This window comes from Homo sapiens, chromosome 3 (assembly GCF_000001405.40).
Source record: "Homo sapiens chromosome 3, GRCh38.p14 Primary Assembly".
Classification (NCBI taxonomy): Eukaryota; Metazoa; Chordata; class Mammalia; order Primates; family Hominidae; genus Homo; species Homo sapiens.
Window position 1 is genome coordinate 32,774,100 of NC_000003.12, and position 26,422 is coordinate 32,800,521.

At 48.2% G+C, this 26,422-nt stretch overlaps 1 pseudogene, besides 10 other annotated features; it reads left to right on the forward strand.

The window, feature by feature from the left end:
- Positions 198-492: a silencer, noted in NCBI's record as "tiled region #10112; K562 Repressive non-DNase unmatched - State 17:Gen3'". NCBI's record gives its function as "represses a minimal TATA promoter and a strong SV40 promoter by Sharpr-MPRA in K562 cells {active_cell/tissue: K562}" and the evidence as "EXISTENCE:reporter gene assay evidence [ECO:0000049][PMID:27701403]".
- Positions 5,755-6,475: an enhancer, noted in NCBI's record as "OCT4-NANOG-H3K27ac hESC enhancer chr3:32821346-32822066 (GRCh37/hg19 assembly coordinates)". NCBI's record gives its function as "activates a minimal SCP1, AML or CMV promoter by ChIP-STARR-seq in naive and primed H9 embryonic stem cells {active_cell/tissue: H9 hESC(naive and primed)}" and the evidence as "EXISTENCE:reporter gene assay evidence [ECO:0000049][PMID:30033119]".
- Positions 6,476-7,197: an enhancer, noted in NCBI's record as "OCT4-NANOG-H3K27ac-H3K4me1 hESC enhancer chr3:32822067-32822788 (GRCh37/hg19 assembly coordinates)". NCBI's record gives its function as "activates a minimal SCP1, AML or CMV promoter by ChIP-STARR-seq in naive and primed H9 embryonic stem cells {active_cell/tissue: H9 hESC(naive and primed)}" and the evidence as "EXISTENCE:reporter gene assay evidence [ECO:0000049][PMID:30033119]".
- Positions 7,182-7,261: an enhancer, noted in NCBI's record as "active region_19638". NCBI's record gives its function as "activates an Ori minimal core promoter by ATAC-STARR-seq in GM12878 lymphoblastoid cells {active_cell/tissue: GM12878}" and the evidence as "EXISTENCE:reporter gene assay evidence [ECO:0000049][PMID:35858748]".
- Positions 7,182-7,917: a biological region, named in NCBI's record as "NANOG-H3K27ac-H3K4me1 hESC enhancer GRCh37_chr3:32822789-32823508".
- Positions 7,198-7,917: an enhancer, noted in NCBI's record as "NANOG-H3K27ac-H3K4me1 hESC enhancer chr3:32822789-32823508 (GRCh37/hg19 assembly coordinates)". NCBI's record gives its function as "activates a minimal SCP1, AML or CMV promoter by ChIP-STARR-seq in naive H9 embryonic stem cells {active_cell/tissue: H9 hESC(naive)}" and the evidence as "EXISTENCE:reporter gene assay evidence [ECO:0000049][PMID:30033119]".
- Positions 7,502-7,581: a silencer, noted in NCBI's record as "silent region_14178". NCBI's record gives its function as "represses an Ori minimal core promoter by ATAC-STARR-seq in GM12878 lymphoblastoid cells {active_cell/tissue: GM12878}" and the evidence as "EXISTENCE:reporter gene assay evidence [ECO:0000049][PMID:35858748]".
- Positions 7,682-7,761: an enhancer, noted in NCBI's record as "active region_19639". NCBI's record gives its function as "activates an Ori minimal core promoter by ATAC-STARR-seq in GM12878 lymphoblastoid cells {active_cell/tissue: GM12878}" and the evidence as "EXISTENCE:reporter gene assay evidence [ECO:0000049][PMID:35858748]".
- RPL23AP43 (ribosomal protein L23a pseudogene 43) lies at positions 11,535-12,072 on the forward strand (annotated as a pseudogene).
- Positions 12,922-13,098: a silencer, noted in NCBI's record as "fragment chr3:32828513-32828689 (GRCh37/hg19 assembly coordinates)". NCBI's record gives its function as "represses an EF-1alpha promoter that drives an FKBP-Casp9 reporter gene in an ReSE screen in K562 erythroleukemia cells {active_cell/tissue: K562}" and the evidence as "EXISTENCE:reporter gene assay evidence [ECO:0000049][PMID:32094911]".
- Positions 25,650-26,409: an enhancer, noted in NCBI's record as "NANOG-H3K27ac-H3K4me1 hESC enhancer chr3:32841241-32842000 (GRCh37/hg19 assembly coordinates)". NCBI's record gives its function as "activates a minimal SCP1, AML or CMV promoter by ChIP-STARR-seq in naive H9 embryonic stem cells {active_cell/tissue: H9 hESC(naive)}" and the evidence as "EXISTENCE:reporter gene assay evidence [ECO:0000049][PMID:30033119]".

Sequence of the window (26,422 nt, forward strand, 5' to 3'; positions counted from 1 at the left end):
AGGCACAGTGGCTCATCCCTATAATCCCAGCACTTTGGGAGGCTGAGGTGGGCAGATCACTTGAGGTCAGGAGTTTGAGACCAGCCTGGCCAACATGGTGAAACCCCGTCTCTACTAAAAATACAAAAATTAGCCAAGCATGGTGGCACACACCTGTAGTCCCAGCTACTCAGGAGGCTGAGGCAGGAGAATCGCTTGAACCTAGGAGGTCGAGGTTGCGGTTAGCCGAGATTGCACCATTGCACTCCAGCCTGGGCGACAGAACAAGACTGCCTCAAAAAAGAAGACACAACTGATCTGTTAGGAATCATTTGCTTAAAAAGTGCAAATACAACAGGGTTCAGTGTACTGGCCTTGTTCACTCTCCTAGGTTCTGGAGTCTGCTGGCAGGCAGTTCAAGGTTCATTACTAACCCTTTTGCAAATGCAAACAAGAATTTAATAGCTTCTTCCCAAGAGACAGTTATGTGTTGTGGGATTGACGTTGACAAAATTTGCCAATAGGATGTATATACACTAACATTAAGTAGGGGGAAAAAACAATACAAGTGGGTGCAGTGGCTCACATCTGTAATCCCAATGTTTTGGGAGACCAAGGCGGGAGGATCACTTGAGGAGTTCAAGACCAGCCTGAGCAACATAGCAAGACTCTGTCTCTGAAACATTTTTAAAAGCTGGACATGGTGGCCCATGCCAGTAGTCCTAACTATTCTGGAGGCTGAGGTGGGAGGATTGTTTGAGCCTAGGAATTCAAGACTGCAGTGAGCTATGATGGCACCACTGCACTCCAGCCTAAGTGACAGAGTGAGACCCTGTCTCAAACAAACAAAAGACAATGTGGATTTGCTCTAGTAAATTGGGTGTCCCCCTAGTTAAGATGGTGTTTGGTAGATTCATCAAAGCTTGCCATTTAGGAATATCCCTTAACGTCACAATGCTTCACTTCCCTAGTTTGGAGACACATTAGCTGAATCTACATGTTACCTCAGTTTCAGAACTAGAGAGACAAGTGTGTGGATAAGTACTGATTTATCTGAAACTTTATCTGAATTATTCTTTTTTTTTTTCCTTTGAGACGGAGTCTTGCTCTGTCTCCCAGGCTGGAGTGCAGTGGCACAATCTCGGCTCACTGCAACCTCTGCCTCCTGAGTTCAAGTGATTCTCCTGCCTCACCCTCCTGAGTAGCTGGGATTTCAGGTGCCCGCCACCACGCCTGGCTAATTGTTGTATTTTTAGTGGAGATGGGGTTTCACCATGTTGGTCAGGCTGGTCTGGAACTCCTGACCTTGTGATCCACCCGCCTCAGCCTCCCAAAGTGCTAGGATTACAGGTGTGAGCCACTGCACCTGGCCGTTTTTTTTTTTTTGAGACGGAGTTTTGCTCTTGTTGCCCAGGCTGAAGTACAATGGCACGATCTCGGCTCATCGCAACCTCCGCCTCCCAGATTCAAGTGATTCTCCTGCCTCAGCCTCCAGAGTAGCTGGGATTACAGGCATGCGCCACCATGTCTGGCTAATTTTGTATTTTTAGTAGAGATGGGGGTTTCTCCACGTTAGTCAGGCTGGTCTCGAACTCCGGACCTCAGGTGATCCGCCCGCCTCAGCCTCCCAACATGCTGGGATTACAGGCGTGAGCCATCGAGCCCAGCCTATCTGAATTATTCTGTTGCTGACAGGAAGCGGAACTCAGGTAATGATATATACTAGAACTGAATATTTGTGACTGAGATAGGCATTGCCAACAGACTCAAAGAAGGGGAGAATATCCTCCTCTTTTTAAACATGGATGGATGGATGTAGGGGCTCCATTGATCGAGTGCCACATTGTAGTTGTTTTGTACACAGAGTAGATTTTTACAGGTGGACACAGAAAGCAGAGATAGCCTAGCTTCCTTGGACCTCTTGAAGCCCCTTCTAAGTAGGACCATAGGACCCGTAATCTGCACTGCTGTTGGTTTAAGTCTGCCGTCTCTGCTTTCCCATACTCCAGACCGACAGCAGTACTGTGAGACCCACTCAAATGAGCAGAATTGCTTTGCCTGGGAATTTTCTGGAGAGTGAGTCCACAGACTTCATAAATCGCTAGGAACTCACATAGTCATGGTAGTATGAAGGGGAAAAGCCCTATAATTGTACTTCAAAAAAACACATCTTTAGAGAAATCAAGAAATTAGAACTTTCTCTGCATGCTGGTTTGTTTATGGGAAAGCAGGCAATACCTAGTAAGGGTAGGGCAGGTCCTATATTAAATAAGACTATATTTGGCTGCAAGTAGCAAAAAATAGGTCTGTGACTTAAAGATTATTTTTCTCTCACTTGAGAAGGGGATATGAAGGCAGCTGCTGGCCTGGGTTCTAGTGTCCCGTGATGCCATCCAGGACTCAGCTCTGTTTTTCCATGCCACTGTCCTCAGCATTTGGGCATTTGTTTCCATAGTCACAAGATATTCCAGTATCACATCAACATTGAAGGCAAGAAAAACAGGGCAAAAACTAGCTAATCTTGATGGGAGACTATCTGGAACAAAACTTTCTTAGAAACCTCAGCAGCCTTGAGCTTAACATCTCTTTTGTCACATCATGTCATGGAGCCATCCTAAGCTGCAGGGAAGCCTGGCAAAGATGTCATAACCATGCCTGCTGCAGTTGCTGGCATAGCCCTGCACATCCTAAGGGAGGCCAATTCAGTGTTTTTCAGATTAATGTTCCAGCAGCTCAGCTTTTCCTTCCACTGCCTACTGTCAGCAGAGCCCAGCAAATTAAATATAAGTTCTTCACCTCTGTGTCTGGACTCATACTGGTTCCCATAGCCAGGAAGGCTTCTTCCCACCTATTTTTCCTGCCCCATTTTGTTAAAGCCACCTCTGCTAACTGAGGTAACTCTGTCAGAGGGGTTTGAACCAGAGCAACTCCATCTTAAATGGGAGCTGGGTAAAATAAGGCTGAAAGCTACTGGGCTGCATTCCCATGTGGTTAAGGCTTAAGGCATTCTAAGTCACAGGATGAGATAGGGCAGCACAAGATACAGGTCATAAAGACCTTGCTGATAAAACAGGTTGCAGTAAAGAAGCCAGCTAAGACCCACCAAAACCAAGATGGTGATGAGAGTGACATCCTCACTGCTACACTCCCACCAGCGCCATAACAGTTTACAAATGCCATGGCAACATTGGGAAGTTACTCTATATGGTCTAAAAAGGGGAAACATGAATAATCCACCCATTGTTTAGCACATCATCAAGAAATAACCATAAAAATGGGCAACCAGCAGCTCTCAGGGCTGTTCTGCCTGTGTAGTAGCCATTCTTTATTCCTTTACTTTCTTAATAAACTTGCTTTCACTTTACAGACTTACGCTGAAGTCTTTCTGAATTCTCTTGGAGTCTAGATCGGGACCCCTTTCTAGTAACAACCCTATCTATACAAAAAGGCTTTTGGCCATGTTTGGTGGTTTACGCCTGTCATCCCAGCACTCTGGGAGGCCAAGGCGGGTGGATCATTTGAAGTCAGGAGTTCGAGACCAACCTGGCTAATATGGCGAAATCCCCGTCTCTACTAAAATATAAAAATTAACTGGGCGTGGTGGCGGGTGCCTGTAATCCCAGCTACTCGGGAGGCTGAGGCAGGAGAAGCACTTGAACCTGGTAGATGGAGGTTCCAGTGAGCCAGGATCGTGCCACTACACTCCAGCCTGGGTGACAGGGCAAGACTCTTGTCTAAAAAAAAAAAAAAAAAAGGATTTAAATGTCACTTACTAAAGTTTTTCCTGGTTGTTCCCAGTTTCTTCCCCCTTTGTATCTTCCCTGGTAAATACAGTTTCTTCTATGGTATATGGTTTTCTGGAATTTAGCAGATATGAGAACCATAGGCATCAGTCTCAAAATATGGCAACTTATTTGCTGGGGTTTACGTTTTTAGGTTTTTGGGTTTTGTTGTTGTTGTTGTTCTATGGTCTTGCTTTGTTGCCCAGGCAAATGTTGCAGTGGCTCTATCAAGGCTCAGTGCAACCTGGACCTCCTGGGCTCAAGTGGTCCTCCCACCTCAGTCTCCCGAGTAGCTGGGACTACAGGCAAGAGCCACCATGCCCAGTTTTGTATTTTTTGTAGAAGCGGGTTTTCGCTATGTTGCCCAGGCTGATCTCAAACTCCTGAGCTCAAGCTATCCACCTGCCTCAGCCCCCCAAAGTGCTGGGATTACAGGCATCAGCCACCGTGCCTGGCCTTTGCTGGGGTTTTGAATTCTGAGAGCCATTAGGTCTATTGAAGCTCTACCACTCATTCAGCTGCATCATCTACAATACGGGACAAAATCGACCTCATGAATTTCTTCATGGACCCAGGAGGATGTTGTTGCAAGTGTCTCCCAAACCACATGGCATGAACCCTCAGAACAGCTGTAGTAGTCTTCCCTTGTGCCCTCCGGCCCTTAACAGCCTCCTGCAGAGCTCTGTTAAAGCCATGCCCTTGACTGGAACACAGGCCAGCAACCTTGCATGGCCTTGCCCAATGCACTGCCATCTGCCTGCATGTGGAAACTATGCACCCTCCGCCTCCTCTTTCATATCAGAGTGTCACCTCTCATAGTCCCTTTCTGACTAGTTTTCTGACAGCTCTGCCCTTACTCAATCTAAGTGACTTTGAGCAAATGACTTCATCTCTCTTGAGGTTTTTTGACCAGTTTGTAAAATGCTTTTCTTCAGGGCCTAGTGTGAGGATTAAAATGAGATGATGCATGCAAAGTGTGCCTGGTGGACACTTAATACAGGTGAGTTCACTTATCCCTCTTGTTACCGAAAGGGCCTGCTCAGCCCAGTCTCCCTCTGTACTTCCTTCATCTCAGTGCTACCTCTGAGTCTCTCTCATTCCTCCCTGTTCTTGGAAGCCACCTGGAGAAAAGTGACTGATGACATCATGGACCCTCTAGCCCGACTGGCTTCAAATCTTGGTTCTCTCTCTGGAACAATTTTGATATGAAACAAGTTGCTTTGCTTCTTTGTGCCTGAGTTTCTTCATCTGTAAAATGGGGATACTAATTCATAGGATTAGAATGATGTTTAAGGGTGCGGCCATTGTACCATTGCTGAATGTGCCTTGAACTCCCAAATGTTTGAAAGGGAACACCATAATTTTCACTGTATCATGTAAAAGTGATATCAAAGCAAAGATTATATAACAGCACTGAGGCTGGACAGTGGGGAATGGAGGGGGACTCCTTGAGATAAATTACCACCTCCTTCACTTTTTTTCTGAGACGGAGTCTCACTATGTTGTCCAGGCTGGCCTCAGACTCCTGGGTTCAAATGATCTTCCCACCTCAGTTTCCCTAGTAGCTGGGACTACAAGTGCAAACCACTGCACCCAGTCCTCCTTCACTTTTGATTTGCTCAACACCTAGTGGCATCCTGTGTTCTCATCCTATTCTTTCCTGCCTTGCCCAGGACCTCATCTTGTGATGACAAGAGGTACCCGGTCTCCTTGCCTCAGATTCCTTCTCCCACCCTTTCTTCCTCACCACAGCCTGTAACTTCCTATAGCACAGCTCTGGCTCCTGCCTAGGGGTTGCTTCAGGGATACCTGAAGGTCTCTTTCTGCCCTTCCTACTTAGCCTTTTTCTTTTTTTAAAGCAGAGACAATGTCTCACTATGTTGCCCAGGCTGGTCTCAAACTCGTGGCCTCAAGTGATCCTCCCACCTCCCAAAGTGCTGGAATTACAGGCATGAGCCACCACACCCAGTTTAGCTACTATTAATCCCTCCCTTATGCCCCATTTGTTCCACCACTGGATTCTCTGCCATCCCCTAAAAGGAGTCACCATTTCCTACCCTCAGAGCTTTGCTTCAGTCTCTTCTGCTGCCTAAAATTTTCTCCCTTCCAGTTTTAATGTGTCAACATCCTGGGCATCCCACACTGCCTCTCCATAGCCCTATCCTCCTCCAAGGGATTTCCTCTTATGCCCCCACTCTTCATTTCACACATGCTTACTGAGGGCATGCTCTGGTCCCAGAAGCTTTTTTGTTTCAGCCCCATAGTAACTAGGCAAATCTGCAAGCGCATGTCTTTCATGACGTGTTCTTTGTTGACCATTTTCTTTCCCCTACTGGATTGTAAGTACCTTTGAAGACAGGCTGTGCATTATACAGTGTGTGGATTGTTCTAGGTGAACAATAAAGCCTGCTAAACAGAATTTTTGGTGACATGTCCTTTCTAGGCCTGGCAACGACACCCAGGGCCTACTTCTTTCAAGGTGGTGAAGGCCTATTAACATAAGCCCAAGATTCACAGGGCCTCAGCATCCTTGACCTCTGCGCCTTTATGGAGTGAGAGTTAAATAGTAGCCCGGGACGGGTGGGTTAGTTACTGGTCAAAGTCAATCCTCCAAGTCAACTTGGCCTGGACTAAAGTAACCAAACCCATGCAGAAAACTTGCAATTTAAAAATTCATCTTCCCTTTCTTCCTAGAAAGGACTGGGCAGAAATGCAGGCTCCAGGGTGGGAGTGGGGCTGCGACGGGAGGAGGCAGCGAAGTTCATTAGCCCCCTCATTTGGGGCAATAGGAATCCGTGTGGTGACAAACAATTGTCCTGGAGGATTTAGGGGGATTTGGCCAAGTGTCCCTGTGGGCCCCCAGCCTCCTCCTAATCCCGTCCACATTTCAGACTACTTAGGATCGCATTAAATGTCAAAGCCGGCGTTTAGGGAAATATCTACATTTCGTATGCATCGCTCGGATGAAAAGAAAAGCTGAAACGAACCTCGGAGCTTTTGGCGCGAGAGGCGCTCTGTGTGGTCCCGAGTGTGAATGGGAAGAGGGGGGCGGCGCCCCGGGGGCCTCCCCGCCCAGGAATGCAGGCCTTTCACATGTAGAAAATGCTAATGCTTTGTTCCTGCCTCGGCCTCCCGGAGGCGCAGAGGCGCCCGGCCGGATTGTCCCGGCGCATTTGCATGTGAGCGGCCCCAGATCCCCGTCCCCACCCTCGGCCCTCCCCCACCCCAGCACGGCTGGCCGGGGACTTCTGTCCTCGGGCCGGGGCCGCCTTCAAACGTCCTCTGCCGTCATTTATTTCATCCCGGTTAAAGCCACAAATAGCTACTTTCTGAATGGATAGCCTTTCCCCTGGGGAGCCGGGCAGGTGAACATTTTTTACTCCATACTTGAGACACTTGACAAAGAGAGTTGTATCTGGAACAACCTCTGTTCCAGCGAGGAAGGGCACGGCGTTGGCTGAGCCATGCCCCACTACAGCGTCACATTTATGTCCTGTGGCGAACACGCTGTGTTTGGCGTGACACTAGGGGCTCCAAACTACCCATTACGTGGTTCGTCTTCAGTGGCATCCAAGCGACCGCAGGTGGCGGGGCCGAAGGGGTAAGGGTATTTCATGCACGTTTTACGGAAGAAGACACAACCCAGAGTTGAGGGGCCACCGGGGTCCCTCTCTTGAGCACAGGCGCCCGGAGCGCAAATGCGCGGACTGACCCAGCGGCCGGCGCGGCGGCGCCGGGCGGACTTAATCGCGGGCGCAGCGCGAGGCTCGGGACCCAGAGCACCACCTACCGGCGGCACGGTCGGCGCAGCAGGCCCCAGAAGGGCGGGGAACGCTGTCAAGCCCAGGGGCACTTCGGCGAGGAGCCCCACCCGCCCTCCAGCTGACCCTCAGCTGTGGCCCACATCCGGGGCCCAGAGCGCCGCGGAAACGCCGAAGCCCGGCCGGCAGGTACCCGCACGTCTCCTTCTGCCACCGCGGAGCTTGCTTCATTAACTCCGTTTCATGTGACTTATTTTATTTCTTTTATTTTTATTTATTTCATTTTATTTTATTTCACTTATTTCACTTCAATATTTTATTTGGTTTATGGTTTTACTTCATTAATTTTACTTCATTAATTCTGTTTTCCCCATTATTTAATTTTATTCTGTCTCAGTATTTAATTATTTGTTTCACTACTTTATTTGTGAGTGAAGGGAAAGGGCGGATACCTTTTTTGTCTTATTTTTCGTTGTTGTTATTGTTGTTGTTGTTGTTTTTTGAGACAGAGTCTCGCTTTGTCGCCCAGGCTGGAGTGTAGTGGCGCGATCTTGGCTCACTGCAACCTCTGCCTCCTGGGTTCAAGCGATTCTCCTGCCTCAGCCTCCTGAGTACCTGGGATTACAGTCGTGCGCCACTACACCTAGCTAATTTTTGTGTTTTTAGTGGAGACGGAGTTTCCACCATGTTGGCCAGGCTGGTCTCGAACTCCTGACCTCAGGTGACCCACCCTCCTCGGCCTCCCAAAGTGCTGGGATTACAGGCCTAAACCACTGCGCCCTGCCGGCCTCAATCATATTTTTTTAAACCCCTTCCAGCTGCCTGCTCTAGGCAAGATAACTTGCCCAGTGTACAGGGCAGAAAAGAGGAGATGACAACATAGTCCTAGGCTCAAGAGCCCCAAGCCAAACTGACAAACAACAAAGACCCAATAATTCAAACCAGGCTCCATGGAGGAGGTGTCATTTCAGGTGGGCAGATACAAAGGGATAGGAAGCTGCTTCATGTGCCTGGATAATAGGGGCCGTGCCTGAATAATAGGGGCCATGTTCCATATCAATACAAGGAAGAGTTCCGTCACACTGTGGAGAGTCTCTTGTGCTGGAGCGAGCTGTCTGCAATTTGAGTTAGGCCAGGAAAGTCTCAGGCCTGGGCCCTGATGGTTCTGTGGTTTCCATGGGAGGGCCTTCAAGGTTGTGACATCCGCTCCCCATACAGTATGATGTGTGTTATGTATTATTTTGAGGATAGGGGAAGATGATTCCCTATTTATTTGCTATCAGTTCTCTAGAAAGCACAATGAATTGCATTTCTGAATATTCACCTTATTTTCCCCCAATCTTTAATTTTGAAAAATATTAAGTATGTAGAAAAGATGGATGTCCGGGCCCGGTGGCTCACGCCTGTAATCCCAACACTTTGGGAGGCCGAGGTTGGCGAATCACCTGAGATCAGGAGTTCAAGACCAGCCTGGCCAACATGGCGAAACCTCATCTCTACAAAAATACAAAAAGTAGCTGGGCATGATGGTGGGTGCCTGTAATCCCAGCCACTCAGGAGTCTGAGACAGGAGAATTGCTTGAACCCCAGAGGCAGAGGTTGCAGTTAGCCGAGATCACACATTTGCACTCCAGCCTGGGCGACTGAGCAAGAATCTGTCTCAAAAAAAAAGGATGGAAAAGTCGCTTAATGAAACTTTATGTCCTAAATCCACCAACTGATTCTTTGCCAGCATTTACTCTAGCATGCTTCCTCTCTCTCTCTCTCTCTCACACACACACACACACACAAACACACACACACAAACCTGTATGTATGCATCTATCTATCTTTTTTTACTGAATTTTTTTTTTTTTTTGGAGACGGGTCTCCTTCTGTCACCCACGCTGGAGTGCGGTGGACGATCTCAGCTCTCTGCAACCTCTGCCTCCTGACTTCAAGTGATTCTCCTGCCTCAGCCTCCTGAGTAGCTGGGACTACAGGCATGTGCCACCACGGCAGGCTAATTTTTTTTTTTTTTTTTTGAGACGGAGTTTCATTTTTGTTGCCCAAGCTGGAGTGCAATGGCGCAATCTCAGCTCACTGCAACCTCCACCTCCGGGGTTCAAACGATTCTCCTGCCTCAGTCTCCCGAGTAGCTGGGATTACAGGCGCGCACCACCACACCTGGCTAATTTTTGTATTTTTGGTAGAGATGGGGTTTCACTATGTTGACCAGGGTGGTCTCGAACTCCTGACCTCAGGTGATCCGCCTGCCTCAGCCTCCCAAAGTGCTGGGATTACAGGCGTGAGCCACCACGACTGGCCTCATTTTTTTTTTAGAGACAGAGTCTCGCTCTGTCGCCCAGGCTGGAAGTACAGTGGTGCGATCTCAGCTCAATGCAACCTCCACCTCCCGGGCTCAAGCAATTCTCCTGCCTCAGCCTCCCGACTAGCTGGGACTGCAGGCACACACTGCCACGCCCAGCTAATTTTTTGTATATTAGTAGAGACTGGGTTTCACCATGTTGCCCAGGCTGGTGTGGAACTCCTGAGCTCAGGCAATTCACTTGCCTCAGTCTCCCAAAGTCATGCTGAGATGACAGGCATGAGCCACCGTGCCCGGCCTTAATTTTGTATTTTTAGTAGAGACCGGGTTTCACCATGTTGGCCAGGCTGGTCTCGAACTCCTGACCTCAGGTGATCCACCCGCCTCAGCCTCCCAAAGGCCTCAAGCCTCCCAGAGTGCTGGGATTACAGGCATCAGCCACCACCCCTGGCCTACTGAACTTTTTTTTTTTTTTCTTTTTTTTTTGAGACGGAGTCTTGCTTTCGTTGCCCAGGCTGGAGTGCAATGGCACGATCTTGGCTCACTGCAACCTCTGCCTCCCAGGTTCAAGCGATTCTCCTGCCTCAGCCTCCCAAGTGTCTGGGATTACAGGCATGTGACACCATGCCCGGCTAATTTTGTAGTTTTAGTAGAGACAGGGTTTCTCCATCTTGGCCAGGCTGATCTTGAACCCTGACCTCAGATGATCCACCTGTCTCAGCCTTCCAAAGTGCTGGGATTACAGGCGCACCACTGCCCCCAGCCCCTGCTGAACTTTTTTTGTTTTGTTTGTTTTGTTTTGTTTTTTTTGAGACGGAGTCTGGTTCTGTTGCCCAGGCTCGAGTGCAGTGGCACAATCTCGGCTCACTGCAACCTCCACCTCCCAGGTTCAAGTGATTCTCCTGCCTCAGCTTCCTGAGTAGCTGGGATTACAGGTGTCCTGCCTCAGCTTCCCAAGTAGCTGGGATTACAGGCACCCGCCACAATGCGCGGCTAATTTTTGTATTTTTAGTACAGACGGGGTGGTTTCACCATGCTGGCCAGGCTGGTCTTGAACTCCCGACCTCAGGCGATCAGCCTGCCTCAGCCTCCCAAAGTCCTGGGATTACAGGCGTGAGCAAACACTTTGGGAGACTGAGGCAGGTGGATCACCTGAGGTCAGGAGTTGGAGACTAGCCCGGTCAACAGGGTGAAACCCCATCTCTACTAAAAATACAAAAAGCCGGGTGAGGTGGCCGGCTCCTATAATCACAGCTACTTGGGAGGCTGAGGCAGGAGAATCGCTATAACCCAGGCGGCAGAGGTTGCAGTGAGCCCAGATCGCACAACTGCACTCCAGCCTGGGCGACACACAGCGACACTCCCTCTCAAAAAAAAAAAAAAAAAAAAAAATTGAGGCCAGGCATAATGGCTCACGCCTGTAATCTCAGCATTTTGGGAGGCTTAGATGGGCAGATCACTTGAGCTCAAGAGTTCAAGTCCAGCCTGGGAAACATGGTGAAACTCTGTCTCTACCAAAAATATAAAAATAAAATAAAATTAGCCAGGCATGGTGGCGCTCGCCTGTACTCCCAGCTACTCAGGAGACTGAAGTGGGAGGATCACTTGAACCCAGGAGGCAGAAGTTTCAGGGAATCGAGATGGTGCCACTGTACTCCAGCCTGGTGAAGAGAGGGAGACCCTGTCTTAAGAAAAAAAAAAAAGCCTTGTCACAAGATAGCGCGGAAAGCGAAGAAGGAAGTTCCCGTCCCTCCTAAAGCCGAAGCCAAAGCGAAGTCTTTAAAGGCCAAGAAGGCAGTGTTGAAAGGTGTCCGCAGCCACAAAAAAAAGAAGATCCGCACGTCACCCACCTTACGGCGGCCCAAGACACCGCGACTCCGGAGACAGCCCAAATATCCTCGGAAGAGCGCTCCTAGGAGAAACAAGCTTGACCACTATGCTATCATCAAGTTTCTGCTGACCACTGAGTCTGCCATGAAGAAGATAGAAGACAATAACACACTTGTGTTCATTGTGGATGTTAAAGCCAACAAGCACCAGATTAAACAGGCTGTGAAGAAGCTCTATGACAAAGATGTGGTCAAGGTCAACACCCTGATTCGGCCTGATGGAGAGAAGAAGGTGTATGTTTGACTGGCTCCTGATTACGATGCTTTGGATGTTGCCAACAAAATTGGGATCATCTAAACTGAGTCCAGTTGCCTAATTCTAAATATATATATATATATCTTTTCAGCATAAAAAAAAAAGCCGGGCCCGGTGGCTCACGCCTGTAATCCCAGCACTTTGGGAGGCCAAGGTGGGCAGATGACGAGGTCAGGAGATTGAGACCATCCTGGCTTAACACAGTGAAACCCCGTCTCTACTAAAAATACAAAAAAATTAGCCGGGCGTGGTGGCGGGTGCGTGTAGTCCCAGCTACTCGGGAGGCTGAGGCGGGAGAATGGCGAGAACCCGGGAGGCGGAGCTTGCGGTGAGCCAGTATCGCGCCACTGCATTCCAGCCTGGGCGAGAGCAAGACTCCGCAAAAAAAGACTAATATCAAAATCCCCCTTCTAGGAAATTACAAACATTTTCATTTCTCTTAGATACCAAATGGAATGCCTTCCTGATGATTTGCTGTTGTATATCTTCGCTAGTTCTGAAGGCCACAAGTCAAGATCAAGGTGCCAGCATGGTCAGGTTCTAATGGGGCTCTCTTCCTGGCTTATAGATGGCTGCCTTCTCCCTGTGTCCTCACTTAGCCAGGAGAGAGGGCCAGGAGGACTGGTTTCTTTATTTTCTTTTCTTTTCTTTTCTTTTTTTTTTTTTTTTTTTTTGAGACAGGGTCTCACTCTGTCGCCCAGGCTGGAGGGCATTGGCACAATCTCGGCTCACTGCAACCTCCGCATCCTGAGTTCAAGCGATTCTCCTGCCTCAGCCTCCCGAGTAGCTGGGATTACAGGCGTGCATCACCACGCCCAATTTTTTTTTTTTTTTTTTTTTTGTATTTTTAGTAGAGACGAGGTTTCACCACATTACCCAGGATGGTCTTGATCTCCTGACCTCATGATCCGCCCGCCTCAGCCTCCCAAAGTGCTGGAATTACAGGCATGAGCCACCGCGCCCGGCCGCTCACCCAACTAATTTTTGTATTCTTAGTAGAGACGAGGTTGGCCAGGCTGGTCTCAAACTCCTGGACTCAAGTGATCCACCCACCTTGGCCTCCCACAAGTGCTGGGATTACAGGTGTGAGCCACTGCGCCCAGCTGGTTTCTTTCAAAGTTTGCTCTTGCAAACTCTTGCCGGGCGTGGCGGTGGGCACCTGTAGTCCCAGCTACTCGGGAGGCTGAGGCAGAATGGCGTGAACCCGGGAGGCAGAGCTTGCAGTGAGCCAAGATCGCGCCACTGCACTGCAGCCTGGGCGGCAGAGCGAGACTCCGTCTCAAAAAAAAAAAAAAAATAGTTTGCTCTTGCTTTTCTGTGTATTTAGCTCCCAGCACTCCTATCCCCACACTGCTTCCAAAACAATCCAATAAGGAAACCACAACGACATCCAAATTTCCCTTTGTAAAAATGGCATGTTTTCTAGGTTGAGAAACTCCGATTTCCATTTAATCGTTGTGACTTTCATTAGCGCTGAACACCAGAAAGGGAGGAATCTGGGAGATTTGGGAGATGGCTGCAGATGCAGGCAATGGCCAAAACACTGGTTAGAGGAGCCCTGTTAGGATGAGGAGATGCAGCACAGTGTTGAGAAGTGGTTAGTGTGGCTGCTCTTGCTTGACTCACATCTGGTGAAATGCAGGGTGGACAGCAGTCCTGAGGTGGGGATTAATCCATCATCATCTGGTGGGGGCAGGTTTTTAAGGTCCTCTATCTCAGATAGGGTTTAATGGCACGGCGGGAAAGGAGTATAGATGGGAGAGGTTGTAAACAAAGAAGTCTTCCGCCAGGCGCGGTGGCTCACGTCTGTAATCCCAGCACTTTGGGAGGCCGAGGTGGGCGGATCACTTGAGGTCAGGAGTTCAAGACCAGCCTTGCCAACATGGTGAAACCCCATCTCTACTAAAAATACAAAAATTAGCCAGGCATGGTGGTGCGTGCCTGTAGTCCCGGCTACTCAGGAGGCAGAGGTGAGAGAATTACTTGAACCTGGGAGGCAGAGGTTGCAGTTAGCCGAGATCGCACCATTGCACTCCATCCTGGGCGACAGAGTGAGACTCTGTCTCAGAAAAAAGAAAGAAAAGAAAAAAAGAAAGAAGTCTTCTTCCCGTGCCACACTAAGTGGTTGGGTCAAGGAGCCTACTTGGACAAGATTCCTGCTGTCCCCCTGAGAAGAGCAACACTAGCCACAGGCCCAGTGATGACACCACCAGGCATGTGAGTCCTGAGTCCCACCAACACAGGCTCCTATCACTCAAGTCAGGCAAAAGGTGGGTTCTTTTCCACGGACTTTGGATTTTCACTTTGCTGCTTTCTAATTTCTTTGTGATGCATCCACTTGTATGCTTCCTCCTCCTCCTCCTGGATAGCACTTCAAGGAAGGTGGGAAACATATACTGGGAACCAAACTACTGAGGTCCAATTCCCAGCCCTACTACTTCCTGTGTGACCTAGAGCAAGTTACTTTACCTCTCTGTGCTGCAGTTTCCTTTTTTTTGAGACAGTCTTGCTGTCTCCCAGGCTGGAGTGCAGTGGTGCTTGCTATCTTGGCCCACTGCAACCTCCACCTCCCGGGTTCAAGCAATTCTCATGCCTCAGCCTCCCAAGTAGCTGGGATTACAGGCATGCACCACCACACCCAGCTAATTTTTGTATTTTTAGTAGAGATGGGTTTTGCCATGTTGCCCAGGGTGGTCTCGAACTCCTCAACTCAGGCAATCTGCCTGCCTCAGCCTCCCAAAGTGCTGGGATTATAAGCGTGAGCCACTGCATCCAGCCAATTTCCTTATTTGTAAAATAGGATGATAATGATACAGACCTCATAGACCTGTTAATGAAGCTTAAATGAGGTTGTATTTGTAAAGCTCAAGAAACAGTCAGTCCCTAGTATTATACTAGATCAGTGAAAGTTACATAAATTAAGTAAATGCAGAAGCTACCATCAATGCCCTGTAGAGCTCCTGTATCCGGACCTCCCTTGCAGACTTGGAAGGGAAGCAGGATGGGTTCATGGAAAAGTCTTGGACGTTGGGATTAGACACTCCTGGATTCAAATCCCAGCTCTGCTACTCCCTGGCTGTGTGAGCATGTGTAAGCTTCTTGGCCTCTGAACCTCAGTCTCAACACCTGTAAAATGAAAATAATGCTCACTTTGCAGGGCAGTGGTAAGGAAAAGAGCTTCCTTAGCTAAGGCTACACAGTAAACGGCCTCTGCTGTTGTCAGAGTGGTTCCTGAGGTTTTCTGTTTTTTGCCTATGAAAATCCAGTCCACTAGAGATGGCAGCTGCCACAGGTGTAGGAGTGGATAAGAGGGGAACTTCCCTGGCCTATCCTTTCCCTGGATCCCCTGAAGTTTCCAGGCCTTCTTTCCCAGAATAGGGGAAAAAATAGGCTTTTTCTTCCTTCTGGCTTTTCATAAGAGCAGTGTGGCCGAGTGTGGTGGCTCACGCCTGTAATCCCAGCACTTTGGGAGGCCGAGGTGGGCGGATCACAAGATCAAGACATTGGCTGGGCACAGTGGCTCACGCCTGTAATCCCAGCACTTTGGGAGGCCGAGGTGGGTGGATCACCTGAGGTCAGGAGTTCAAAACCAGCCTGACCAACATGGAGAAACCCCATCTCTACTAAAAATACAAAATTAGCTGGGTATGGTGGTGCATGCCTGTAATCCCAGCTACTCGGAAGGCTGAGGCAGGAGAATCACTTGAGCCCGGGAGGCAGAGGTTGCAGTGAGCCGAGATTGTGCCACTGCACTCCAGCCTGGGAAACAAGAGCAAAACTCCATCTCAAAAAAAAAAAAAAAAAAAAAAAAAGATCAAGACATTGAGACCAGCCGGGTGCAGTGGCTCACGCCTGTAATCCCAGCACTTTGGGAGGCCGAGGCGGGCGAATCACAAGGTCTGGAGATTGAGACCATCCTGGCTAACACGGTGAAACCCCCGTCTCTACTGAAAATATAAAAAATTAGCCGGGCGTGGTGGTGGGCACCTGTAGTTCCAGCTACTCGGGAGGCTGAGGCAGAAGAATGGCGTGAACCCAGGAGGCGGAGCTTGCAGTGAGCCAAGATCATGCTACTGCACTCCAGCCTGGGCGACAGAGCGAGACTCCATCTCAAAAAAAAAAAGAGATTGAGACCATCCTGGCCAACATGGTGAAACCCCATCTCTACTAAAAATACAAAAATTAGCTGGGTGTGGAGGCAGGTGCCTGTAGTCCCACCTATTCTGGAAGCTGAGGCAGGAAAATTGCTTGATACCGGGAGGCGGAGGTTGCAGTGAGCCAAGATCACACCACTGCACTCCAGCCTGGTGACAGAGCAAGACTCTGTCTCAAAAAAAAAAAAAAAAAGAACAGTGTGAAAAACTTTGAAAATCACAGGATTTTGTGATCAAAAACCTGAAGTCACATGCAGCCCCTCATTTGGCCTGTAAGCCCCTCACAGGCCCCAAAATTGGGGCAGCTGTTGTGGAGCCCAGTATTGCTATGACAATTGCCCCTTCAACTTAGAGTCTGATGCTCTATAGAACTCTGAGTATGGATTTTATCTGTCTGTCTATCTATCTGTCTATCATCTATCATTTTTTACTACAATCCAGGCTAGACTAATCATTAAAATAGAGAACAGGATTCTTGGAGGAGATGACAAGCTGTGGTCCCTGCTTCACTGATTCCTGCAGTAAAATTCATAGAACAAAAGGATTCAAGGCTGGGCGAGGTGGCTCACGCCTGTAATCCCAGCACTTTGGGAGGCTGAGGCGGGTGGATCACTTGAGGTCAGAAGTTTGAGACCAGCCTGGCCAACATGGAGAAACCCCATCTCTACTAAAAATACAAAAATTAGCTGGGCATGGTGGCGGGCAACTGTAATCCCAGCTACTCGGGAGGCTGAGGCAAGACAATCACTTGAATCCAGGAGGCGGAGGTTGCAGTGAGCTGACATCCCGCCATTGCACTCCAGCCTGGGCGACAAAAGTGAAACTCCATCTCGAAAAAACAAAAAGCACTTTGGGAGGCCAAGGCGGGCAGATCACCTGAGGTCGGGAGTTCAAGACCAGCCTGACCAACATGGAGAAGCCCCGTCTCTACTAAAAATAAAAATACAAAATTAGCCGGGTGTGGTGGTGCATCCTGTAATCCCAGCTACTCAGGAGACTGAGGCAGGAGAATTGCTTGAACCTGGAAGGCAGAGGTTGCAGTGAGCCGAGATCACACCATTGCACTCCAGCCTGGGCAACAAGAGCAAAACTCCCTTTGGAAAAAAAAAGGATTCAGCAGAAACAGGTAAACATGGTGAAATTGAGGCCAAAATTCAAGAGATTAGGCCTAGACTTTTTTTTTCTTTTGAAAATTCTAACCAGGTTTGGCTGTTCATGAAAACTTTTAATAGCTGAGTTTTTTCTGTGTTTTGTTTTAAGTGGGAGTGAAGTTCTGAAAGGGTCAGGAACAAATGGAAGAAAATGAAGCTAACGGGGGACTTGGGGCACAGCGAACTGTTCTTAGGCCCACTGAGTCAAAGGCACAAGAATCAAACTGGAGAGAGTGAGGAGCTCAAGCCAGACAAAGCCAAAGTGGTAGATTTCCTTTCTTAGGCCAACTAGGTTTTCCTTTGCTGGGAAGGAAGAGTGGCTTTTAAATTTTTGATCTAAAATAGAGGTGAGTTTAGGGTGCCGTACAGCTGCATTTTTCACCCCTCAGAATCCCTTCTGCTTGAAAAAGGTCTTAATGAGGTCTAGCGGCCCTAACTCGACCTGCTTGGTCAGTGTTTCTTTCTTTAGAGAGTGATCCTGCTGAATTAAAATTCAATTAATCCAACTTTAAGGGCAAGAAAAACTATTTGTGAAAAATCATTAAACAGCACATAAAATCCTTTGAGGAAGACTGAATACTAGGAGAAGTACAGCCTGGCTTTTGTTAAGGTACTTTGGGCCCAATGAGTTAACTTTTTCAAGGAATTTTAACAAGATAGTGGTCAAAGTGGAATTTGTTCGTGTAGTTTATTTAAGGTTTTACAAGGCCCTGCAAAGAGTCCCTCCCCTAAGTCTGGAGGAGAAGAGAGTTTGTAAAAACGTGGTGAGAGCTAAAATCTTAGGGGGGCATTTTTAGACCTGGGAGGAAACAAAACTGGCCTAGATGCTTCAAAAATATCAGGGTCCTGGCCGGGCGCTTAAACACTTTATGGCAGGGTGCGGTGGCTCACGCCTGTAATCCCAGCACTTTGGGAGGCCGAGGCGGGTTGATCTTCTGAGGTCAGAAGTTCGAAACCAGCCTGGCCAACATGGCAACCCCCGTCTCTACTAAAAATACAGAAATTAGCTGGGCGTGATGGCACACACCTGTAATCCCAGCTACTCGGAAGGCTGAGGCAGGAGAAACACTTAGAACCCAGGAGGTAGAGGTTGCAGTGAGCCCAGATCGTGCCATTGCACTCCAGCCTGGGTGACAGAGCAAGACTCCATCTAAAAAAAAAAAAAAGCCAGGGTCCTTAAAGACAAAGGAAGGCCAGAGAACTGCCACAGGTGAAAGGAAACTGGGCTGGGCACAGTGGCTCACGCCTGTAATCCCAGCACTTTGGGAGGCCAAGGCAGGTGAATCATGAGGTCAGGAGTTCAAGACCAGCCTAGCCAACATGGTGAAACCCCATCTCTACTAAAAATACAAAAAAATTAGCCAGCCCTGGTGGCCGGCACCTGTAATCCCAGCTACTCAGGAGGCTGAGGCCAAGAATTGCTTGAACCTGGGAGGCAGAGGTTGCAGTGAGCCAAGATTGCACCACTGCACCCCAGCCTGTGTGACAGAGTGAGACTTCGTCTCAAAACAAAAAACAAACAAAAAGGAAACTGAGGAGACTTGACAACTGAATGTAGCATGTGATCATGGATTGGATCCTGGGAAGGGAGAAACAAATTTGCCCAGAAAGGACAGATTTGGGACAACTGGTGAAACATGAATCCAGTCTATGGATTAGATAATGGTACTATATCAACATTTAATTTCCTGACTTTGAGAACTGTACTTTTGTTGTGTAAGATAATGACCATGGTCTTAGGAAATGCACAAGGAAGTGATTAGACATAGAGGGGCATCACCAGGAGTTCTGGTTCACGCCTGTAATCCCAGCACTTTGGGAGGCTGAGGTGGGCGGATCACGTGAGGTCATGAGTTCGAGAAATAGAAGGGCATCATATCCACAACTTTACTCCCAGATGGTTCAAGAAAAATAGTATACGTGTGTATAGATATATATACTCCACTTATAATAGACACATATGTACATATCCCAACATATACATACCGTGTACATGTAATACATGTATATAATATATAGATATAGTAATATATATGTAAATATATGGGAGAGAAGAAGTGATAATGCAAATTGGGCAAAGTGTTAATATTTGGGGACTCTAGGTTAAGGATATATTGGAGTTCTTTGTACTATTACAATTTTTCTCTAAATTTGAAATTATTTCAAAATACAAGGTAAGCTAATATAAAAATAAGTAAAACTAAATAAATTTAAGAAGAGATAAAAGCTTTAAAAAAGAGCCAGTCATGGTGGCTCATGCCTGTAATCCCAGCACTTCCGGAGGCTGAGGCAGGAGGATCATTTGAGGCCAGGAGTTCAAGACCAGCCTGGTCAATATAGTGAGACCTCATCTCTATTAAATAAATAAACAAACAGGCTGGGGGAGTGGCTCGCCGCCTGTAATCCCAACACATTGGGAGGGCGAGGTGGGCAGATCACAAGGTCAGGAGATCGAGACTATCCTGGCTAAGACGGTGAAACCCCATCTCTATTAAAAATACACAAAATTAGCTGGGCATTGTGGCAGGTGCCTGTAGTCCCAGCTACTCGGGAGGCTGAGGCAGAAGAATCGCTTGAACCAGGGAGGCGGAGGTTGCAGTGAGCTGAGATCGTGCCACTGCACTCCAGCCTGGGTGACAGAGTGAGATTCCATCTCAAAAAAATAAATGAATAAATAAATAATAAACAAATAAATAAATGAAAAGAAACCTTAAAAGAAAAAAAGAAACAAAAAGGAGGTAGATAAGGAAAGAAACAATCTGTGACTTTTTTTATTTCCTCTTGCCCCATAATGTATCAAGACAGGTGCTAACAGGCTACACAAGAATTAAGAATCACCCCAAAGAGGTTTGTAACCAAACTCGGAAGACCTAAGGCACTTGCAGTAATTGAAAACCTGTGGTCATCCATGTATCCAGGAGCCATCATTCAACAAAGAGTTACTAAAGACCTTTGGTGCCCAGGCCAGAGTTTGTGACTTAGCTCCTGCCTCCAAGGAGCTGGCAGTTTTATGCAAGAGACTAACACACACAAAATTATTGCAGTGTCCACAAGAATTGTGACGGTAGCATGAATGTGGGAGTGTGCACCTCAGTCTGGGGAGGGAACCTGCCGGAAACAACTTACTTCTCAGAAGATGTGACACTGAAAGCAGGTTTTGAAGGCTGAGTAGGAGTCAGAGAAGGGAGTTGTGAGCCTTGGTAGAGGAGACAGTCTGCAAAGCACAGAGATAGGAGACAGTATGCAACAGCCAAGTCACAAAGGCACATTAAGCAAAGTGGGTGCTGAAAAGCATCAGGCAGGAGGCTGGACAGGCGAGTCATGGCTGAAAGGCTTAGAGGAGGCTAGAGTTTCTGAGCTAGGATTTGAAGAAGGAGACTGCCAAGGATTCGTGAAAACCACGTATTATAGACAAACAGAGGGAATGAGCACACAGGTCAGGAATGAGCAAATCCCAAGGCTAAGGGGACGGTAAACACTCTGGAGCCTGGGAGTCTGCACAAGGTGGGGTTGTGCAAGGTGTTTGCTTCTCACCTGAGCCTGCAGGCTTTCACATGAGGCCTCAGCCTATAGTCCCATGGTCAGGGTCAACCCAGGAAAACAGAAATGACTATACATATTTGTAACAGAGAAATTTAGTGGGGGGATTTTGTTGGACAGGTGAGGGAATTAAGAGGTCAGCTAGAGCAGGAAGCCGCTGCCACTCCTAGGCTGGAGGGTCAAGGGAGGAAGTGATGTTACCTGAACCCAAGGGTTGAGGTCACCTGCTGGAAGCCGAAGCCACAACAGGCCTGGAACTGGAGCCATGGAAGAGATGCAGCCACTAATGAAGGCGGGAGTTGCTACCAAGGCAGAGGGAGGAGAGAATACCCTGGCTTTTCCCTTCTCATCCTCTTGTCAACTGCCAACCTCCTATTGGCTAAACCCAGCCAAAGCCAACTGACATAGGAACTGAGGGAGTATAACTGAGGATCAGCCTCGCTGTGATCTAGGACAGAGCAGGGGAAGGGCTGGGAATGGATCTGAGGGCACCCAGACCCAGAAGCAGTCCATATGGGAGCTGTTTTCAGTCCCGCACATAAATTGGGCAGTCTTTTCTGTCCATGTATCAGCACTGACTTATTCAATCCCCCAGTGTTCTTTGGCTCAGGAAATGGTACCATCATACATCCAGGTGCTCAGGTAAAAACTCTGGAGTCAACCCCACTCTCACCTTTTGACTTCTGTCTTTCATCCAACCCATCAACAAATCCTAAGGGCTCCACTTTATTTTGTTTTTTGGTTTTTGGTTTTTGTTGTTGTTTTGAGATGGCGCCTCGCTCTGTTGCCAGGCTGGAGTGCAGTGGCTTGTAAAATGGAGAAATCAAAAGTGCCATTTTCTTGCTATTTAGAACCATTATCGAGTTTGTACTGGGGCCAAGCAGTGTTGCAGAAGAAAATAAGACGCTTAGGTTTTAGGTCAGGTGAGAGTTGAAGAGGTTTTAAGTTTTTGAGAACACAGGCTAAGGGAGAAGAAGGAGGAATGGAGGGTGGAAGGTTGCCCATAGTGAAGGAGGCAAGTCCACAGAAAAGAGAGGGTAGAGACACAGAGAAGGGGGGTTAGTGAGCAGCCCTGGGCTGCAATGTGGGTGAGCAGCCAACACAGGCATCCCCACCATTGACTTGCCACCAAGAGAATGTGGGTGAATGACCAAGGCAGGCGTCCCCGTGGTAATCAGACACCAATACAGTGTGGGTGAATAATCAGGCAGGGGTCCCCGCAGTGATTAAACACCAAGGGAAAACTGTCTTCCCGAGTCCGTGACCGGCGCCGGAGTTTTGGGTCCACAGATAAAATGTGTCTCCCTTGTCTCTACTACAGAGGAAAAAGAACTGGAATTGGAAGGACAGGGAGACTGAAGGGTAGCAACAGAGGCTGGAGAAGAGAGTGAAAAGACCGCTTACCCGATTTGAAATTGGTGAGATGTTCCTTGGGCTGGTTTGGTCTGAGGACCCGAGGTAGATCTCCTCACGGAGTGAGGGTGAGGACAGGGGACTGGTCTCCCGAAGGAGTCCTCCTGTCCCAGGTCTTCGGCACCAAATGTCACACGCGTCCATATGAAGAGACCACCAAACAGGCTTTGTGTGAGCAACAAGGCTACTTATTTCACCTGGGTGCAGGCGAGCTGAGTCCGGAAAGACTCAGCCAAGGAAGATAGGGGTGGGGCCATTTTATAGGATTTGGGTGGGTAGTGGAAAATTACAGTCAAAGGGGGTTTTTCTCTTACGGGCAGGGGCAGGGGTCACACGGTGCTCAGTGGGGGAGGTTCTGAGCCAGGAGAAGGAATTTCACAAGGTTAATCCCTCAGTTAAGGTGGGGCAGGAATAAATCACAATGGTGGAATGTCATCAGTTAAGGAAAGAACCGGCCATTTTCACTTCTTTTGTGATTCTTCACTTGCTTCAGGCCATCTGGACAAATACATGCAGGCTTGGGCTCAGAGGCCTGACACAAGCGAATCTCCTGCCTCAGCCTCCCCAGTAGCTGAAATTACAGGGATGCACCACCATGCCCAGCTAATTTTTGTATTGTTATTTTTTATTTTTCTATTTTTTTGAGACCGAGTTTTGCTCTTGTTGCCCAGGCTGGAGTGCAGCAGCGCGATCTCAACTCACTACAACCTCCGCCTCCCAGGTTCAAGCTACTCAGCCTTCCTGATCTGCCTGCCTCGGGCCTCCCAAAGTGCTGGGATTACAGGCGTAAACCACGGCGCCCAGCCAATTTTTGTATTTTTAGTAGAGACATGGTTTCACCATGTTGGCCAGGATTGTCTCAATCTCCTGACCTCATGATCGACCCGCCTCGGCCTCCCAAAGTGCTGGGATTACAAGCATGAGCCACAGAGCCCCGCAAGGGCTCTACTTTAAAACCATTGTGTATTTCATCAGTCTGAAAAGGCACATTTTTCTTTTTCTTTTTTTTTTTTTTTGAGATGGAGTCTCACTCTGTCGCCCAGGCTGGAGTGCAGTGGCGCGATCTCAGCTCACTGCAAGCTCCGCCTCCCGGGTTCACACCATTCTCCTGCCTCAGCCTCCCAAGTAGCCGGGATTACAGGCACCCACCACCACGCCCAGCAAATTTTGTGTATTTTTAGTAGAGACGGGGGTTTCACCATGTTAGCCAGGATGGTCTCAATCTCCTGACCTTGTGATCCGCCCGCCTCGGCCTCCCAAAGTGCTGGGATTACAGGCGTGAGCCACTGCGCCCAGCGAAGAGGCACATTTTTCACTTGACATTTCTGAAGCTGGGATGAAGTTTTCAGAGCATTAAACTAGTGGAGTTTTTCCTTGTGTGGTGGTAATAATGGTATATGCTTCAATTATTTATTGCTGCTTAACAAACCACTTGAGAACTGAGCTGCATAAAACAATCACCATTTTACCTTGCTCACCGATTTTGGGGGTCTGGAATTGAGAGAAGGCACAGCAAGAAATATTTGTCTCAGCTTCACAATGCCTGGAGTCTTAGCTGATAGCTGGGATGACTAAGGGCTGGAGGCTAGAGTCATCTGGAGAGGAGTCACTGACATGTCTGGCTCCTTGGTTGGGATGACAAGAATAGCTGGGGGCTCACTGGCTGGCTGGCTATCTGTCTATCATATATTGTTATATATTCTCGGAACTTCTCCATGTGGACTCTCCACATGGCCTCTCTATTATGGCAGCTCATGGTTCTGAGGGCCAGTGTCCCAGCTTCTTATTCTGATTGGACTGCTATAATAAAGTACCATAGACTAAGTAGCCTGTAAACAACAGTTTACCTTTCTGAAGGCTAGGAAATTGAAGATAAGGTACCAGTAGATTTGGTTTCTGGTAAGGGCCTGTTTCTTCATAGAGGGCATCTTCTCGCTGGGCGTGGGGGCCCACGCATGTAATCCCAGCACTTTGGGAGGCTGAGGTGGGTGGATCACGAGGTCAGGAGTTTGAGACCAGCCTGACCAACATGATGAAACCCCGTCTCTATTAAAAAATCCAAAAATTAGCTGGGTGTGGCGGCACGCGCCTGTAATCCCAGCTACTCAGGAGGCTGAGGCAGGAGAATTGCTTGAACCCGGGAGGCAGAGGTTGCAGTGAGCCAAGATCGCGCGCATTGCATTGCACTCCAGCCTGGGCGACAGAGTGAGACTCCAACTCAAAAAAAAAAAAAAAAAAAAAGAAGGCATGTTTTCATTGTAACCTCACAGGGTAGAAGGGGTGAGGGATCTCCCTGGGGTCTCTTATAAAGGCACTCATTCATCATGAGGGCTCCATTCTGATGACCCATCACCTCCCAAAGGCCCCACCTCCTACCTCCTAATACCATCACCTTGGGGGTTAGGATTTCAACATATGAATTTTGTGGAGACACACAAACATTCAGATCATAGCGCCCAGTGAGCAAGACGAAAGTTTGCCTCCGAAGTCACATCGCGTCACTTCCACTGTACTCTGCTGCTTGAAGCAGTCATAAGCCCACCCAAATTTTAGGGGAAGGCACACAGACCCCTGACCTCTCCATAAGAAGAGTGTCAAAGAATTTGGGGCTATGTTTTAGAACTGCCACAGCGTATCTTAAAATTAGTGGAGTCTTTGAGTCCACAAAATACGTTATCTTGAATTTGAGCACCCCTCACAACCTCTACTGCTAACACCCTGGTCCAAGCTATAATTACCATCCATCTGCCTCAGTGATTCCACTCCATCCCTCCTAGGCACCCTCACCATCTATTCTCTACACAGTAGCCAGAGTGATCCTTATAAAACATAAATCATGGCTGGACATGGTAGCTCATGCCTGTAATCCTACCACTTTGGGAAACCGAGGCAGATGGATCACTTGAGATCAGGAGTTCAAGACCAGCCTGTGCAACATGGTGAAACCCTGTCTCTACTAAAAATACAAAAATTAGCTGGGCATGGTGACTCATGCCTGTAGTCTCAGCTACTTGGCGGGGCTGAAGCAGGAGGATTGCTTGAACCTGGGAGGTGGAGGCTGCAGTGAATTGTGCCACTGCACTCCAGCCTGGAAGACAAAGTGAGACCCTGTCTCAAAAAAACAACAATAAAAACCCACAAACAGGCCAGGTGTGGTGGCTTATGCCTGTAATCCCAGCACTTTGGGAGGCCGAGGCAGGCAGATCACCTGAGGTCAGGAGTTTAAGACCAGCCTGGCCAACATGGTGAAACCCTGTCTCTACTAAAAATATAAAAATTAGCCGGGCGTGGTGGCGGGCACCTGTAATCCCAGCTACTCGGGAGGCTGAGGCAGGAGAATCGCTTGAACTCAAGAGGCGGAGGTTGCGGTAAGCCAAGATCACGCCATTGCACTCCAGCCTGGGCGATAAGAGCAAGACTCCGTCTCAAAAAGAGAAAAACACCCACAACAAACAAAAACACTTAAATGATATCATAGACTGCCTTGATCTTAATCTTCTATTGGCTTCTTATCACCCAGAAGAAAATCCAAAGTTCTAACTTGGACTTATAAGGCCCTGTATAATCAAACCCCTGACTTTATATCTGACCTTACTTCCTGCCAGTTTACCCCTCTGTTCATTCCATTCTTTCACTGGCAACATTGCTGTTTCTCAAAGGAATCTATCATATTCACACCTCAGGGTGTTTTAATTTGTGGTTCCCTCTTTCTGTTACTCTTCTCCCCTAGATATCTACATAGATATCTTTCACCTTATTCTGGTTTCTACTCAGATGTCATCTCTTCAGACAGGCCTTCCTTAACCTCTCCATCCAAAAATAGCACACTCAACTCTATCACTGTCCCCACACCCAGCATGGCTTTGCTGTGCTTTGCTTTACAGCGTTGATCACAAAAGGCTAATCTGCTCCACATTCATTTACATGTGCATTGTCTGTCTCCACCTTCAAGGCAGGGACTGTTTTGTTCACTGCTGCTTTCCCAAAGCCTGGTATATGGTAGGTGCTCAATAAATACTCATTGAATGAATTCACTTATTGCCTCATTTCCTCACTGTGTAACCTCAGGCAAATAACTTCTCTGGGCAGTTGGCAAGCAGGCTGGTGGATGGCTGTTCCTGCAGGGTCTCACTCACATAGTTGTTAGTTGGCCAGCTGTCTGTGGGGAGACGGAGGTAACTGAGCCACA